The sequence below is a fragment of the Homo sapiens genome, chromosome 6, assembly GCF_000001405.40.
Source record: "Homo sapiens chromosome 6, GRCh38.p14 Primary Assembly".
Lineage (NCBI taxonomy): Eukaryota > Metazoa > Chordata > Mammalia > Primates > Hominidae > Homo > Homo sapiens.
Window position 1 is genome coordinate 16,418,064 of NC_000006.12, and position 19,069 is coordinate 16,437,132.

Genomic DNA, 19,069 nt, shown 5'->3' on the forward strand with positions numbered 1-19,069 from the left:
TGGTCCCAACGCTCTGGTGTAGCAAAAGATTGAGAAGTGAACACTGTTGTAGAGCTACGAAAAGATATTTGGCACATAATAGGTGCTTAAAATGCTCATTAAATGAAAGAATTAATGCATAACCCTTCCTACTGAATGTTTGTGTCTAGAAGATGCACTGTCTCAAACTATTCCCATTATAAAAGTAAATATTGTTCCTGTGTACAATTAGTCCCTTCCTCTAGACTATTAATCCCTGGCTCCTGGCAAAAACTCCTTGCATTTGTACAGAAATGGAATCGGTTTTTGGCCACATTAAGCGATACTTCTTTCCTTAAGCACATCAACTCCCTCTGTGGCTTTCAGGAATGCTTAGCCTTTGGAATAAAGTAGAAAGTACAGAAATCCACTGGAATACATGGCCTGGCACATGTCAAATCAAAGAAGGAATAGAGAAGCAGGGAGCATTCATGAGATCTGAACAGTCTGACCATGCAATACTCCTTTTTTTTATTTTATTTTATTATTATTATACTTTAAGTTTTAGGTTACATGTGCACAATGTGCAGGTTAGTTGCATATGTATACATGTGCCATGCTGGTGTGCTGCACCCATTAACTCGTCATTTAGCATTAGGTATATCTCCTAATGCTGTCCCTCCCCCCTCCCCCCTCCCCCCACCCCACAACAGTCCCCAGAGTGTGATGTTCCCCTTCCTGTGTCCATGTGTTCTCATTGTTCAATTCCCACCGCAATACTCCTAACGCTAATAATTGTAGGTGTTAATGGTAACAATTTGTTATAAATGATACAACATATTTCTATTTGTTCCTTAGCTTTCAAGCATTCGCTTGATGTCATGGTCTGAAATTTGGCCAAGGTGTTCCTATTTTCAGGCCTCGATATGCCCACAGATGCTTCCCTGGTTATCCTTCATTGAACCAACTCCTCCACTTACTAGCTGTGTGACTTTGTACAAGTAAGGTAACCACCCACCCTAAGCCCCAATTTCCTTTTCTGTTGAATAAGGGTAATGATGGTACATATGTCTTACAACTGTCATGAGCTTTTTGTATTGTTTTCTTCTTTGAGATGGGTTCTTGCTATGTTGCCTAGGCTAGGCTCAAACTCTGGGGCTCAAGTGATCCTCCTGCCTCAGCCACCCAAGTAGCTGGGAGTACAGGTGCATGACACTGCACATGGCTTCCCATGAGCTTTTGATGAACTGCTGCATGTAAATATTTTAGCACAGTGCTTGGCACATAATACATGTTCAATAAATGTTATCTATTCCAATCATTATTATAATTAATAGCCAATCCTATTCTTATGATAGTTCTATCACTGTCTACTCATTTGCCTGGTAATCATATACTCTTTGTATTTTATAAATATATACATTAATATATTTTATAAATATTTTTATAATATTTTGAGTAATTTAAAATGCCCAAATGGCTGTTTTCTTGTGATACAACCATGGAGTACTTTCCAGGGTGGGTATGGCAGTGTGCAAAGGAAAAGGCCTGGCCCTGGGCAGTGCTATTTTCAGAGTGTGTGAGGGCCAGGCTGCACCACATCCCATATTTCCCTTTGAAGAAATCAGCCAACGTAACAAGCAAAGGTGCCAGGGAGGCCTTGAGGGTACCAGTGTACAGGGGACACTGCTACATGTGCATGCTGAGTGGCTGCCCGGGTCTGCCTTTGTGTACTAGGGGAATGTGTGGTGAGGCTGGAGGGGACAGAGCTGGCCACCTGTGAGAAGGACTCTCAGGGCTGCTGTCATCATTTGGCAGAGTCCATCCTTCTACTCCAACCCAACCTCACTCTCAGGGAGGGGACGGATGAGGACCGCTCATCCTATCATCTACAGGGTTTTTAAAGTGTGGGTCCTCATTCTCTGGCCTGGGTGGCCATGATCCGAGGGCATTTTGTTCTGGTGCACAGATACAAAGACTGGGGATGGGGAGGACAGTAATCTTTTATACAAGGACACATGAACCACCACACTGGTGCCTTAGAGAACATAGGCAACGAATACTCTGCTGCAGCATAAGTGATCGAAAGTCACACGTTAATGCAAATTATGTAAATCCTCACTAAATGATTTGAATAGAAAGGAAATCACCATAGCACCACTGTTCTCCATAACGTGAGCTGCAGTGTTCTATGCTGCATTTTACTTCCCCGGTATGAGGGCAGCTAGAGAGATGGTGGGATGACTTTCACTGTCTCTGGGGACCTTCAGACAAATTAGCTATCTTGTGAACAGTCCCAGGATGCCAACTTTCTAAATAAACATCAAAATGCATTTACTGTCTGTATCACTTAAGAGGTTGAGAATGGAGGGGGGAGCCTAACTGCAAACATTTGCGTGTTTTTATTTAACAATAGCTTAGCTATTAGACAATATAGAGTATTAGAAAGACTGTCTTAGAAGACTGAAGAGGTGAAGCTGGTGTTCTGAGTATGTCTACACAGCCTGCATAGAGGCAGATGTATATAAATGATCATGTTACTCTGCCTAAAATGGATAAAACTCGGAACAAAACAATCCACATTTAGTAATACCCTGAAGCTGACTCTAATTTGTATTCACTGTGACAACTCCTTACTTTCAAATCTGAAGTAATTATTAGAAAGTGAGAAAACAGACATTACTTTTGGGAAGCTGGGAGATGGCTTTATAGTCTAAGTTGCCACTAGATAGAATGACCCATAAAAATTACTTGGAAGGCTATTATCTCATAACCGGGGCCTATAAAATCTAACAGTTACAGATTCTCTCTCTCTCTCTCTGTCTCTCTCTCTCGTGTGTATTTTAATTAAAGACTTAAACTGCTAAGAGACAAAACTGAAAACATGTACGTAATCCAATTTTGCATAATGTCTCTGCGGTTTTGTAGTTGATTTTCCCCATCTGACCCTGACTTACATGTGATACACACACATTTACTGGTTTATGGTAGGAAAACTGCTCTGGCTGGGTACTGGCACTCGCCTTTGTGATTCAGGCATGAAACCATGAGGTGCCCAGCTGGAATTCAGAAGAAGTACATTAGGACAGAGGGGCAGCTTTGTATTTATTTATTAGGTTCTTCCAACTTAAGTTGCCAGGGTAGCATGAGCTTTTTAAAAACAGTTGTTTCTGGCCTTCCTGTTTTAGGCTTTTATCTAATAGAGTGTGAGAAGACATGAGTTCACATGCAGCTAAGGATGAGATTATTCAAACTGAAACCAACCCCACATATCAAACCGTGGTGTCATTTTCGTCACTTTAACAGTAGAAAGGACACAGGAAAAAAAAAAGAATGAAATCATTTACTGAACTAACAGTTACATTTGTCCCCTCCTGCCTTGGATAAATAATGACTAATTTTTAAATAACAGATTGGTACAGCTCTGAGATTAGGAGACAGAAAGCATGGAAAGGTCCTCAGACCTTTTAGGTTTGGTGCTTTCCTGTTCCTCTGAATGGGCATTTTTCAAAACCATTTTGAATGTAAAAGGCTGTAGAGTTCAACACTGGGCTTCTTCCTACTTTATGAGGTTATACACAGGTTCAAGGGTGAGGGTAAAGACAAGCAGGTGCAGAGTTTCACACGGGAGGGTGGGGGGGGCGTGAGTGTGCATGCATACATATTTGTGGGAGATGAGCGTGCATGCAAATAGGTGTGCAGAAGTGAGTGCACACAAATGCACATGTGTGGGTGAGTGTGCATACAAGTACATGTGCAGGCGTTGATATGCATACATGTGTGCAGGCGTGAGTGTGTACACAGTGTGCAGGGGCCATGACTGTGCATGTATATGTACACTGCAGGGGCAATATGGAAAAAAACATGGAATACAATGCAGTTTAGCCACGACTGGCAGCCAAGATTGACCTTTAAGCCCATTTCATGGCCACTGCATATGCATTTTTTATTATATGCCAATCCCAGGACCTGGTGCAAAGATAGCCAGTAAGAAGTAAGATCTTCATCTTTTGAAGTATATAAGGGTTTTTTTTTTTATTTGCCTCTGTGCTAAGAAGAATGGCCAAATCATATTCCTCTTCATTCCAAGTTGGAGCAGAACAGCCTTAGGTTGCTGCCAACTGTTATCCTTCGAGAGGGCCACATATTTTGAGGTTTCAGAGACAGTGAGGTAGATTCTGCCTTGAGAAATATCAGACACTCAAGTACTCCGGCGACACACTGAGCAAATGTTTTTGCCAGCAGAAAGATATAGGTGGGTTCACCGTGGCGCAGGTGAGGGAGAGGAAGCTGTGCACAGTAAGCGCACTTTCTCTTCTCCAGACATCCTGGTGCCACAGTAGTTCCCATTCTCTCTCCTCTTCTGTAACTTCTAAGACCTTTGCCTTAAGTGAATGGATCCTCCTAAGACAGCCATAACTGCATTTATTTACGTCCCTGCTCTTTGACTTGAAAAGTTCACCCTTTCTTGGAGAGAGAGACTTGGAAAAGAGAGGCATGAAGGGTCTCAAGCCCTGGCAATTCTGCCTCAGTGAATCCGACTTCTACCTCCACAGTGAAATCTCCCTAGCTAGTTGAGGGGCAGCAGTATTAATTGTTCCTTCCTAAGAGTTGTCAAGCAAATCAACCTGAGAACTGGAATCCACCCAAGACACACCTATGCCTTTTACAATAAAGATTCAGTGAAGAATCCTGCCCTTCACAACAGCCTCCTCAAGTAGGGAAAACGCTACAAAAAATGGATACATGACAACCAGGAACTCCTTCACCCACAGAGAGATGTTTCTTTGATCTGCCTTATCTCTGCCATCTGTTTTCCCAACCTGGGCCAATGTGGTCTAATTTCAGTTCTTTCATATTTTCACAAGTCAGAGGGAAACCAGGAATCTTAAAGGTTTACTACTGAAAAGCACTTTATTTTCAGTAAGGTGCTTTAAAAAATAGAATTGTCATATCTGATCTGATTCAGGTAAGAAATTTCAGAAAGGGAACTCTAGAATTCATTTTTCATAAAGGGACAGTCAGTGGAATAGAGCACCAGGGGTAGGGGGAGTCTTTATAATCACACACCTCTCTCTGAATACATTTCACTTGTTAGCCATCAGGTCTGAAAACTGTAGTGCTGGCTCTGTTCAGTTATTGTTCAAGTGTGATCTCAACGACCCTGAAATTCTTCTTTGTCATTTTGCATCAGGCTGTTTTTCATGATTTCACTTTGTTCCCATCCTCACGGCCTTCTACTACGCAAGGTCTCATGATATAAATGAAGGTTATCTTCTTTTCCTTCCAGTCACTCCTCTTTACAGAAATCTCCTACATAATTGAGATGCTGTCATCAATCAGTCAACCAACCAAGCCCCCTGAACTGGGTCCTTGTGATGTTCCAGGGGTTTAATTACAAGGAATGCTAGCTCCTAACATCTCAGATACCATGGGCTCGAAGACTTGTAACATGTGATATTAGGGCAGCAATGGTTTCCTCTACTGGTCCGGGATTTGGGGTTTTAGGGGCTCTCTTCACAGATGAGAGAATTTTGCAGCTTCTTGCCACTGGCTGCAATGACGCTCCCCAGTGAGGTGGAGGCCTAGAGAGAGGGGAGGGTGACTTAAGGTGGGCAGGGCCTAGCCTTGATTACAGGCTCTCAAGGATTAACCTCGGGAGGACAGAGAGGAGAGAAGACAAGGTGAAGCTTTGTGAGTGGACAGAAATTAAATAAAGGGGTTTCCAAGTTAAGTACAGTGCTCCTGGAGAAGCAAGTTGGAGGCTGCTGGTATCATGCATACACATGCAGGACTATTTAGTGGTACCTGATTATTCTGATCACAAACAATGGTGTTTTTATGCATCATTTATCTTCAGAGAGTGTCTATCTGAGCTGCTTGAAGCAAACGAAACTTATGGATTGGACTAGCCTTACGAGAATGCTAGTTTCAGAGCTATGGCTGTGCCTATAGCAGTTTGTAGGAATTTATTATATAAAGTCCTTTTAACCCCTTGGAGCACTTTTACATCCTTCGCATCACATGATCCTCCAGGTAATCCTATAAGACTGGAAGAACAGGTGTGAAAAGACCATGTCTTATCAAGACCCAGTGGGCCTAAGTGATCTGTCTAAGGTAGACAGAGGGCAGGTGGCAGGGAGCGGCCTGGATCTGCCTTCTGATTTTGTTTCTTTTGTCATGGTTGCTACAACATCATTGCTCCTACAGGCAGAATCAAGAGCTACGGGTTCAAGGGACGAGAGGGAAGAAGGACACAAGCCGGGTGTGTGCATGCGCATGAATGGAGCCTGCGTGCACAAACATTCGGTGATTTGGAGCCATTTACGCAGCTCATCTGGAAAATCACAGCAGAGGAGAGGTTTCCTATGGGGAAGTCTGTTGGGAGCCTGATTTTACCCCTCTCTCTTTGCTCCAGGCTGCACTGGCAAACCTTCGGCTATTTAATAATAGTATCTAGTTGATTTACATCCAGGGTTGCCCAGGGTTCTAGTGTGTGCACTGCCAGGCACAAACAAGTACAGACCAGCTCATGCCCCACAACAAAGTGGCCATTTTATGGGGAATCAACTGGAATTCTCCATTGCTGTCTCTGTCTGCCCTGCTACTCAGAAGACGGTGGAAGGAATGCTGAAGTAAGCTTCTGTAAGAGCTCACTGGCCTGGCTTTGAAAGAGAGGATCAGCTGGGATCTCTGAATAGATGAGGAGTCAGGGTGAAGACAGAAACAAAGAAGTGTTTCAGGTGCAAAGGAAATGTGGGTGCTCCATGACTCTCTGAAGGGAGTCCAAGGGCTGGACCATTCAGAACCTTCAGGAAGACTCAGAACAGCTCCAGCCTGCCTGAGCTGGAAGCAGTGTCACTGTTGGTGTTGCGTCTCCTCTGAGGACCTTCCAGAACCATCTAATGGCATGGGTCAGAACTACTGACTGCTGCATTTTGCACTCAGGGCCTTCCATGAATGGCAGTTTCTGGTACCTTTGCAGACTATTCCCTAACATGCCCTTTACACATAAATTCAGCCAACTGAAATCAGAGCAATATTTGAGCTATGGCCTTTTTTCCCTCTAAAATGCTACCAAACACTAGATCTCTTAGTTCTTTCATATTTTAAAGTGCACAGATGCCTGATTTCAGATTCTGTGAAACAGAGCACAAATTAATATTTACAAATGCTTTCTGTCTCAGGACCCCTCTGTAGCTACTAACTTCACATTTGGGAAAAAGTAGACCCTACTCCATCCCACTGTGCCACGTTGTTTACCAAAAGTATCCCACCAGGCACTTGTATTCCTCACCCACGTGTATTACTTTAAAATGCCTTTCGGTAAAGGAGAATTTGAATAGCATTTTACGCATTAACTGTCTGGGAATGCTCCCAACATAATATACTGAAACACAGAAGACTGGCTGTAGGTCCAGATCACCTGGTAGTGAACCATGGAAAGGTATTATTCACACACCTTGGAGCCTGCGGATTCTCTAAGCCTTCTTAATCATTCTTCAGGTATTACTTTGTCCTTCAAAACAGCAGATTTCAGACGCATTTATAAAACAATTCAGTTGTAATCTGGGTCCCTAAAGCTTCAGTATAGACATTTATCTTGTAAGTAACAAAGAGATGGGAAGATTTCCTAAGTTCTCATGCTATCCCACCTCCTGCTTGTGTTACTCACTATTCAAAATTTAAGAATAAGAAGTCATCTGGGAGAAAGGGGATGGGACCGAGCATCCCTGAAACACGGCTCAGGGCTTGGTTCCCTCCTATGCCCATCACCTGCTCCCTCACTCAACCACAAACACGGCTGCAATATCAGGGTCAGTGTTCCACATCCCGTAGCAGATGACCCTCTGTTCCAGAACAAACAAAGTGTGCACCCTATAAGCATGATGACATTAGAATTAGACTTCAAAGCTAGCCTCAAGATGCTCACAGACTGATATTAACCACTGTCTGCCACAAGCATATGGCACAAGACAGGCTGGAGCAGATCACAAGGAAAGACTCGTTGGCATATTGGCCCACAATACTGCCACAGAGGCAGAGCTTAGAGAGGGTGCTAGGCAAGGCATTCATCCGCTATTTCACTCTGGAAAGGGGATCAGTTGGGGGAAAAAAATCTGCAAACCTTTTGAGGACAGAAGGCAATATTGCTTGAAATTTATGAGTAATGAGCCATTTTGGGAGAAGGAAGTTGATTCTGTCATTCATTTTGACAGGGCTTATTAACACAAAAGGAGGAGAGGGCTGGTGGGGAGGGTGGGGCACTTGTGGGAAGGTGCAGAGAGGACAGAAGGGTGAAGCCAGCCAGGCAAATGAGAATGAGAAATTGCAATTATGGACCTTATGGAGGAGCTGCTGGTAAGCTACCCTGGCCAAAGGAAAATGTTGATTGGACCAATTTTCAGAGGGAAACAGACAGCTCTTCTGCAAGCAGATGGATGACAAATCTCTAGGAGGAGGCTGTGTTGTTCATGTGTGAAATGGTCTTAGCCAAGGAGTAAAAGCGCCAAGCCATGTATGTAAGCAGAGCCACCTGGCCTGTGTGTGGTGGTGGGGCCGAGTGTGTGTGTGTGTGTGTCTGTATGTGTGTGTGTGTGAGAGAGAGAGAGAGAGGCAGAGAGAAGGATGGAGAGACACTGGCAGCAAAATCTCTTGCTGAAAACTCCAGGACACTTTAACCAAGCAGCCCCCATTTGTACATCTCTGTCTATCTCTGTCTCTCTGTCTTGTTTTTTCCTTTCTTGTTTCCCTCCCCCTCTATCCAGCATCCCCTTGCTGCTTTAACCTTTTCCCCCATCTCTTAGATGTATCTTGTCCTGTGGAACTATAAGATCCAAAAACTGGGGGAAAGAAAAAAAAAAAAAGACCAAGTAGAGGCAGGATCGAGATTAAAGTGGCCAGAAAATAATCTGCCAGCAGAGGCCAAGCTCAGAACAAGCCCTTCAATGCCGCTCACCTAAAGCCCCGCCCCCTCACCAATAAAGTCTATTCTCATGGACCAGATTGTATGTCGGAGAAGAGCAGGAGGCATCTTTGTGGATGGACACGGTCTAGATCCAGACATGGAACTCTCCATGTCCTTGACTGGGGGCCATGCTTCTCTCCAGTACAGATGTGGCAGACATCCCTTCCCAAGCATTCGAATTGTTCTTTTAAGGTTAAGGTAAACCAGGGTTTCTCAGCCTTGGCACTGTTGACATCTTGTGCTGGATGATTCTTTGTGGTGGGGGCTGTCCTGTGTGTTGCAGGATGTTTAGCAGCATTCCTCACTTCTACTCACTAGATGCTGGTAGCTCCTCCCCAGTCGTGACAAGCAAAAATGACTTCAGACATTCAGACATTGCCAACTTGCCCACGGCGGAGGGAGCAAAATTAGAATCACGGAGGTAAATTTTATAGAGAGTTGGCTGGTTCTAAGTGGAAAACTACTCTCTTATTGCATGAAGGTTAAATGCACTCACATGTGACACACACTCACATTCATAAACACACACACGATACAATGACAAAATCCCTAAGACAGAGTGGTCCTCGTTTCTGATTTTTCCACACTTTCATTTGCCTGATTTGTTGTAAATGCCTCTAAAGTTTGAGCAGAACATCAAGGGTTCCGTTTTCAAAGTGACCTCAACTGCCTCCAGCGTTTCAGGTGTTGAGCTCTAGAAGCCAGGATGGAAGTTTTCAGGCAGATACAACTCCCAGGCTTTCATTCAGCTTCTATAAAACAACAGTGCACACAGGCACATGCCTCATCACCAGTGTCTGCTGTGTGCACCCAAAAAAGAAAGCAGACGCAGAAAGATGATTGAAAATGTATTCCATAGGGCTCTAGGGTTGTCTTGAAATGCTCTGTTCTGAAACACTCTATAAAAATTCCTCACAGATTTTCAGTGACTAGAGGCATGGGGCTGTGGGAGGGGGTGCTCAGCTGCACTCTTTTATTATTGAGCTGATTCAAAGGAACAGATTTTATGTTGATAAATGTACCTGATACTGACTTTAATGTTCATGGACTGGGTCTTTTCTATCTGTAAAATATGGTTGCAAGGCTTTCATGGACAAGACATGGCCTCTTGTCTCTGGTAGACCAGGCCTTTTTTTTTTTTTTTCTGAGATGTAGTTTTGCTCTTGTCACCCAGGCTGGAGTGCAATGGGGCAATCTCGGCTCACTGCAACCTCTGGCTCCCAGGTTCAAGTGATTCTCCTGCCTCAGCCTCTGGAGTAGTAGGGATTACAGGCGCTCACCACCATGCCCAGCACATTTTTGTGTTTTTAGTTGCGACGGGGTTTCACCATGTTGGCCAGGCTGGTCTCAAACTCCTGACCTCAGGCGATCCACCTGCCTCGGCCTCCCAAAGTGTTGAGATTATAGACATGAGCCACCATGCTCAGCTGACCAGGACTAGTAATAGCAAATACTGGGTTGGTGCAAAAGTAATTGTGGTTTTTGCCATTGAAAGTAATGGCAAAATCACAATTACTTTTGCACCAACATAATATTTCTTAAGCGCTTGCACTGTTCCAAGAGCTTGACATTCATTTAATTATCACAACAACTTTTTGAGGTAGCTATCATTATTAAGCCAAGTTTGCAAATGAGGAAAGGAGACAGGGAGAGTTTCAGCACTTACCCCAATTACAGCACAAGCTGATGCCAGAGGGAGATTTGAACCCAGGCTGGCTCACTCCAGCTAACACCCAACCATCACATGCAGGGCCACCCTGCTCTGCTAACACATTCACACAACTCACTACACATCACCAGACCGACGTGATGCTTTCTCCTAACCATAAATAATAAAGGGACTCAGAAGCCCCAAGTGGGGAGAGGTTAATGGGTTTGCGGTTAGAAGGCTTTGCGGAAGAGGGGATGGGAGCTGGGCCCTGAAGTAGAGGAAGGATTTTGACGGGCTGGGTCAGATGGAGGGAAATATGGCGATGAACACGCACAGAACATTAGAATTACAATGTGAAGTAAGGTTTGGTTGGGACATAGGCTGCCAGTGGAGCAGTGGGGGCGGCGAGGGTAGGGGGGTGGGAGGTCACCTGCTGGACACCCTGGCGACCTGTTCCTGCACCTGTTCCCTCCTCACTAGGTGATGGAGGCAGAGAGGACACTGAAGAGAGGAGACATGAGGGCTGTGCGGTGGCCCTGGTGCATCATTTCCTAAGAACCCTAAATTTAAATTCTCTGCCCTACTATTTCTTCCCCATAGACAGAGATCCCTTAGTTCTTTCAAACTCCTTTTTCCTTACTGACTGTAGAGACCCCAAGTTTCTCACTGGCACTGCAAAATATATGCAGAAATTTGACAGTGGGTGATAACAGGATGTTTGGAGTCCTTTTAGCATTAAAAAAAAAAACAACCAGTAGCAATAGCATCAGAGTATTTTTTGTTCGTTTTTTTTTTTTTTTTTTGAGAAAGAGTCTCCTCCAGGCTGGAGTGCAGTGGTACGATCTCAGCTGACTGCAACCTCCGCCTCCCAGGTTCAAGTGATTCTCATGCCTTAGCCTCCCAAGTAGCTGGGATTACAGGTGCCCACCACCACGCCTGGCTAATTTTTGTATTTTTAGTAGAGATAGGGTTTTGCCATGTTGGCCAGGCTGGTCTCAAACTCCTGGCCTCAGGTGATCCACCCATCTCGGCCTCCCAAAATGCTGAGATTACAGGTGTGAGCCACTGAGCCTGGCTGGAGTTTTCTCTTATCATAGAAGCATTCTGTGTTTCTATGAGTTTTAGGCCCATTCGATCCACATAAAAACCGCAGCAGGTATTACCACCTCCCTCTTGACAAACGGGGGCATGGAGGCACAGGCAGTTCAGTGATTCTTTTCTGAAGATCACGTGGTGACTGTGGGACGTGGAGCTCAAACCCAAGTCTGTGGATTCCTAGCTGGAGGCAAATTCTACCACATCACATTTTTAAGTACACGTGCCTGAAAAGCTTGCCACTCAGGCAAAATCACAATAAGACTCAGAATCCGTAAGCGACTAAATTTGCCTGGAGTGACATTATTTTTGTGGCGGGTGTTGAGACTGAGAATAGAGTTAAATGTTAGGAAAAAAATTCTGAAGTTTACTGATACATTGCTTGGACCCCAAAGTCCCTGCACTCCTTAGACAAGTGTTGGAGGGAAACGGCCACATCAGGGGTGAAGTGGCATTTATCCACTAGTATACTCCAAGATGTCGCGAGTCCCTGAATCCCCCACATCTCTGATTTGGTCTTCCAGCAACTATTGGAATAAGGCTATATGATTTGTGCAACAACAATGAAAAGAAGGCAGGAAAGAGGGAAGGAAGGATAGGAAAAAAAAAAAAAGAAAGGGAAAGAAAAAGAACACCGTACTGCGACCACTAGTTATTAACAGCCCAGCCTGTGGTACACAAAGCTGACAGTTATTATGAGTAATTAGCACAAAGGAAGGTTCTGTATACACACTATTTCCAGACATGTTTTTGAAACAAGGGCTTTGCCTTTTACCACCAATAATTTGTCTTGTTGTATGTTGTTACTTACACAGATGTTCCATGATTTTTTGCATATGGCTCAGCCAAAGAAAGCTTTTTCCCCTTCCATTTTTGGGAAAGATGCAACTGACTGTGTAAGGGAGAGGAGAATGTCTAGTTTTTACATAATGTCTATGGCGATGATAGGGGTGCAGTGGCTGGTGCTGCTGGTGTGTGTGTGTGTGTGCGCGTGTGTGTGTGTGTGTATGTGTGTGTAGTAACAAGATTCCCCACCCAATCTTGCCAACCATATTTCATCTAACTCTCTTGACTGAGTCATTCCTATGGGATTAGGGAGTACTGCGTACATCCAAGGTTCGTGGTGTTTGCTGAGATAACACATTATCAAAAGCCTCTCTAAAAAGGGTTGAATATTTACAGAAGAAAAAAGAGGCGGGAGAAATGTGAATGCATTTGAGATTTTTTTGTTGTTCTTTCTTGGCAGTCTTTACAACTGACAACAGCAGAGCCCTCTCATGTTTCTATGACCTTCCTCAGCACAGTCCGGAATGCACATGTACGGTATCAGAGAGCAGCCCGCCTCCATGTTTTCTTGGGAAGGAGGGTCTGTGCAGATGTGGGGTTTTTTTGGGGGAAATGGGTGTGGGGGTAGGAGCAGGAGCGTAGATAGGAGTGGTGAGATTAAATCCAAGCATACCAGGTTTTTAGAATAGAGAAATACAACTGGCTGAAATTATCAGGGAGGAAGAGCAGACTAAAAAATATACATCTCTTTTATTGCAATACCACCAATTGAGAGAACATTCTGCTGGGGGGGATGTCTGCCAAGGACTTCTAATTCAGTTTGTTCCACCCGTTTTATTTTTAAACTCGAGTGCAGATTTTATTCCTGGAATGTTATAAGATTGGTGTGGGCAGAAATGGGCAAATTCACTTCAGAAGTGCTTTATAACAACTTGGAAAAGACCCTCTAAAATTCTCCAAGTACATTTTAGGGGTGAAGTTCATTTCTCTCTTTTCTGAAGAAAGCTGCCTTGATTTTGCAGAAGTAAAACTCGAGTATAATTTTGAAAGCATTTCAAAATAGTGATGCTATCTATTGGGTATTTAACTATTTTCCAGGGAGTATTATAACAATTTGCATAGTCTCTCATTTAATTCTCACAACTACCTCATCACCCCCATTTACGGGCAAGAAACTAAGGCAGGGAGAACTGCCAGAGTTGAGTTCAAATCCAGATCTCCACGATATCAAAATCCTTCTTCGCCACTATGCAACTGTGCTTTCGTGTATTCATATCCAGGACATCATAAACTATCAATACAGACGATGTATTAAATAAATATACAACTTGGCCATCAGGCTACTATTTATCATTCTAACAGGATGGGGGCAAAAGCAGATTCCTTAGCCTGCTTTTCTGATGAGAGATCGCGGGGGAGCCAAAGGCAGTTTGCAAAAGAGGACCAGTCTCTGCGCAGGAGTTTTGGTGGTAAACATGTGAGGGTATCCAGAGAGTGATGGAAATGGTGGATAATCTATTTATTTTGAAATACCAAATGGTACTAATATAAAAACTTGTTCAACCTACTTTGGCAACATTAAATATGAAGGGAATGTACCTTCTTCCCCTCCTCCAAAAGTATTTACTTCAAAAATCGATTTCCTCTGTCACTGGTTATTGCTGCATTTTGCTCAGTGGTTCTGAGAAACCGCATGGAAAATCACAATGTTACACTCGTTAAATTGACCCTGCAGGGCTCTACCACCAGTACATGCATCATCCCAAGAGGTAAAAAGGCAAGGCTGCCAGGCTCATGCTGAGAATATCATCATGAAATCAACGAGGATATGCAAATCTCTCTGTTCCATAGCTCATTTGCATGGTTTTCATTGGTTTTGTAGAACCTCTATACTAAATGTCAATTTCCTTTTCTTTCCTAAAGCTTATTAGCTGTGTGTGATGTTTACAGCTTGAAGACCAAACAGATTTAATAGTTAAAACATTTAAACTATATAATTTAAAAGCATGCAAGGAAGAGGGAAAAAAAGAGGCTCTGATGTAGATCAAACATGTAGATATATTTGTGCTGTTAAAATATGCTTTCCAAGTTTGGAAGATGCGGAGGCCTCATGCATGTCTGTGCACACATAAGCACCACCACAAAATTTGCTTAACCTATTTCTTTTTTCTTTTCTTCTCTTCTTCTTCTTCTTTTTTTTTTTTGCAATGATCTAGAAGAAGCAGAGACATTTGCTTATAAACTATGAAGGGCTTGAACCCAGCCACTGAGTACACATTTTACTCACAATGAAATCTGCATGGAAGCCTGCCAATGTCTGGGCTGACATTCAAACATTCCAAGTTTCTATGTATTTCAATCTCTCAAAACTAATGTTTTAAAACTCTTGATATTTTCTGAGGCACTACACAGTTCAATCCTCACCTCTCAGTTCAGAGTGAATATACAGCAATAATTCTGCTTGAAAGAAGTGCAAAGAAGGTCTTTTGCTGTGCAGCATGTAGCTCGATCTACCGCAACAATACAATGAATAGGTTATGGGTTTTGTATTATTATTTTCCTTTGTGCATCAGATCTAGAAACAGGGTGAGAAAAGAAGGTTGAAGAAATCTTTTAAAAATCTATAAATATTTAAATATTAGTTACATAGTAGACAATGTCCTATAGCCATGCTTTATGGAATAAAGCATAGAATCTTTTGCATTTCATGTGGCATCTGAGTACATTATCTACTGCTACTAGTTATTAGTTCACAGCTCTGCCAAGAGGTAATTGGTGATCCACACCTTCTGAATACTTCTTTTTGGGAACTTTAGCACAATTAGCTGATACCTCAAATTTCACCTGGACCGCAACAGAAACAGCTGTTCAACATTAAATTAAATTTTATAGTTGTTGGCTTTAAGGAGGATAAGAAGAACTGAGTGCTCCAAGGAGATTTTAGAGGTGGGCAAAAAACAGCAACCTGCCCCTACAAGCAAAGAGAGATGTCCCTCCTGGTTAAGCACCCCTTTGTCACGTGCAGCCCAGAGGAAGTTGTGATAAAGCATCATTTGAAAGTTTTAATGCCGTTGGGGCTACAAGCACATTGTCTTGATGGAATTCAGCTGTACAGCTCCTTACTGTCAAATACGATCCATTCTGTTTTAAATTCCTTTAACTGTGACAGGCAGCATGATGAAACAGGTGCATTAAGTGCATGAAACAGAACAAAAGTAAGAAAAGTGCTCAAAGGAAGGCCAGAAATAGTGAAGCCAGAGTGACAGTCTGCAGACCTGGGTCTCAGCAGCTCCGCCCAGGAGTTCCTGCCGGAGCTCAGGCGAGCCACGGATCGGCTCTGTGCCGCTACCTCCTCACCTGCCAAACGAGGGTCACGACGCGTCCTCTAACCTCAGAGAATTTTTGTGAAATTGAGAAACTTACAACAAGCACTCAGCAAACATGGATGCCAAACTATTATCTCATAATTCAATGTGCCCAAATCAGACTGAAACAAGTAAAACCCCAAATTAATTTGACACCATATGCTATGGGTTACATTTTCCAAAAGCCTTCGGAAATTGGCATTTATAATATTTGTGGGTTCATCCTTCTCCATGTACAGAAACATGTGCACACATCAAAACAGACCCAGTTAAGTCTTAATTATCTAGTGGAAGATTATCCAAGATTCTTACTGTTTCTCCCTTTTCCTGTTGCCCATTTTTAGCCTTTTTTGGCAATTCCTCCACTATTAAAGAAAAGAGATGGCATGCAAATCAATCAACCCCTTTCCTTCTTCACTGTAATTTCAATTATCTGTGCTACCTCAGCCTCCGTTGGCATGGATGGGCGAGGAGGTGCTATCTTTGTCCTCAGAATTGGATGGAAAACATTCATCTGTGTTATTGGGAAATGATGTGAACTTAATTTCTCTTTCCCTTCTAAAACTTTGCTTACTGAATGGAAATGTTCCTGAGATCTGTTTATTTGGTTCTATATTTATGTACCTCCCTTTTAAAATAGAGAATACATGTTAATGTTTCTTTGATGACTCAGTGTGTATTATCGGTAACAGTCCATTCATGATGTTGCCATACCACACAGCATAATTTTCTATCTGCTTCTGATTGATTCTTCATTCTCCCTTGATCTCAGTTTGTCATTTAATACATCTAAGTTTTTCACTCAACAAATCAAATACTGATGGAGAATCTGCTATACACCAGGCACTGTGCTGCTAGGAGCTGAGGATTGAACGGGGAGAAACAGGAAGCTCCCTGCTCTCATAGTGCTTCTTAGTTGGGGAGAAAAGACATTCATGATATAATCACATAAATACCTATTTTTATATGTAAAAAATGTTGTCAAAGAAAAGAACGGGGTGATGGGAACAGTTGGAAGAGGTGTAAAAACTCCAGAGAAGCTGTGGCTCCTAGAAAGAAGGTAGGTTTTAGGACTAGAATGGTGATAGTGGGCCGGAAGAGAGAGAGTGCATTCGAAAGACACTGAGGAGATTGCATCAGTAGGACTTGGTGACACATTAGATGCAGAGGAAGAGGGACAGAAATGCTTCAAGGAGGACTTTTAGGCATCTGTCTTGGGTAACTAGATGATGCCAATGGCTGAGATGGGGAATTCTTGGGTAGATGAGGTTTGGTGGGATGGTGATTGTTATAACTTTGACTTTGAACGTGCTGAGTTCAGGTGACATTGTGATACCCCAAAGGAGGTGCAGAGTAGGTAGCTGGAGACACAGGCCCGAAGATGATGAGAGGTCTGGCCTAGAAACATGGATGCAGGAGTCATGGATCCATCAAGGCACTGTGAGTTTGGATGAGATCATCTAGCAGAACACTTAAGTGGAGAAGCAAAGTGGTCTAGAGACTAAGCCATGAGGAACTCCAACACTTAGAGGCGTAGAAAGCAGGTAGAAAGGGAACACCTGAAGACTTAGGAAGGAGGGGCCAGAAAGGGATGATGGCACCCGAAGACAGTGGTGTTCAGGAAGCCAAGGGAGGAAGGTATTTAGACAGGAGGGGGAGAGCAGAATTGGCAAAGCTGTGGAGAAAGTGAGATGAGAACTCCTATTAAAAACACACAACTGGTCCAATGACATGGGATGGCATGGAAATCACTGATGACCAAGCAGGAGACAGGGGTGGACCGCAGGGGAAAAAGAGCAAGCTGAAGCCAGCTAAGGAATGTCCTCGGGCCATCTCCTAGCGGAGGCGGTAGAGCCGTGGTTGAAGGTACAGGAAGTGGACTGTTAGGGCCCAGGTTCCCCTTAACCATGAGACCTGAAGCAAGTTACTTTATTTCTCTAGGGCTCAATTTTCTCACCTGTAAAACAAGAGTAACAGTGCTCACCTACTAGGTTGCTGTGAGGTTCTTTTTCTTTTTCTTTTTTTTTTGGAGACAGAGTCTCACTCTGTCACCCAGGCTGGAGTGCAGTGGTGCAATCTTGGCTCACTGCAATCTCCACCTCCCGGGTTCCAGCTATTCTCCTGCCTTAGCCTCCTGAGTGGCTGGGACTACAGGCGCCTGCCACCACAACTGGCTAATTTTTGTATTTTTAGTAGAGATGGGGTTTCACCACGTTGGCCAGCCTGGACTCAAACTCCTGACCTCAGGTGATCTGCCTGCTTCAGCCTCCCAAAGTGCTGGGATTACAGGCGTGAGCCACCACACCTGGCCTTCTGTGAGGTTCTTAACATGTAAGCCACTTAGCCCAGTGGCTGACTCATAGTAGTTGCTGAATAAATGCTAATTTTATATTAACACCCTCATAACCCATTAAATCAATATTTATTGAGCATCCATCTGCCAGGCACTGTACTAGATGCTGACAAAGACACCCCCAACAACAAATAATTACCTATCCTCATGGAAATAAAAGATTTATAATGAAGTATTTTCCATTAAATGGTGATAGATGCTAAAAAGTTAAGCAGAAAAGGGGGCTAGGGTGGTGGTCTGGTGACCATTTTTTCAAGCTTGTCAGTCAAAAAAGACCTCACAGAGACAGTAACTTTTGGGGAAAAGCCTGAAGAAAGGGAAATAGAAAGCAATGTGGTGACTGGGGGAAGAGCCTTCCTGACAGAAAGAACAGAAGGTACCAAGGTCCTGGGGTGGGCTCCTGTGTGGTGTGTTGGAGGAACACCATCGAGGTGGTGTTCCTGGCACTGAGTAAAGGGGGTGGGGAGCAGGAAATGAAGTCAGAGGGTGGGGGTGACAAGTTCTTTGAGCCACAATAAAGTCTGAGGTCCTTACTCTGAGTGAGCTGAGAGGCACTGGAGGGTTTTGATCAGAGGAGGTACAGGGTCTGGACTACATTTTCACCAGTTCATGCTGGCTGTTGCATGGAGGAGATATTCTGAGAAGAAGCAGAGAGACTACTCAGGAGGTTACTGATGAACTCCAGCCAAGAGATGGTGGCACCGTGGACCAGCAGAATTGTGTAGGAGAAAAAGAGGCATCAAGGACAACGTCAACAACTGTGGCCTGAGTAACTGGAAGGAGATGGGAAGGCAGTGGGAGAAGCAGGTTGGGGTAGAATATCAAGAGTTCATCCCACTGAAGGCAGTTAAGAGACAGTGGGATATGCAAGCCTGAGGTTCAAAGAAAAGGCC

General features: G+C 43.6%; 1 protein-coding gene across 3 annotated transcripts in view, besides 2 other annotated features; it reads right to left on the bottom strand.

Annotated features, from left to right (window-relative positions):
- Positions 1-19,069, bottom strand: part of ATXN1 (ataxin 1) — a 462,349-nt gene that overhangs the window by 118,952 nt on the left and 324,328 nt on the right. The window lies entirely within an intron of this gene.
- Positions 3,141-3,190: an enhancer, noted in NCBI's record as "active region_24104". NCBI's record gives its function as "activates an Ori minimal core promoter by ATAC-STARR-seq in GM12878 lymphoblastoid cells {active_cell/tissue: GM12878}" and the evidence as "EXISTENCE:reporter gene assay evidence [ECO:0000049][PMID:35858748]".
- Positions 14,507-14,566: an enhancer, noted in NCBI's record as "active region_24105". NCBI's record gives its function as "activates an Ori minimal core promoter by ATAC-STARR-seq in GM12878 lymphoblastoid cells {active_cell/tissue: GM12878}" and the evidence as "EXISTENCE:reporter gene assay evidence [ECO:0000049][PMID:35858748]".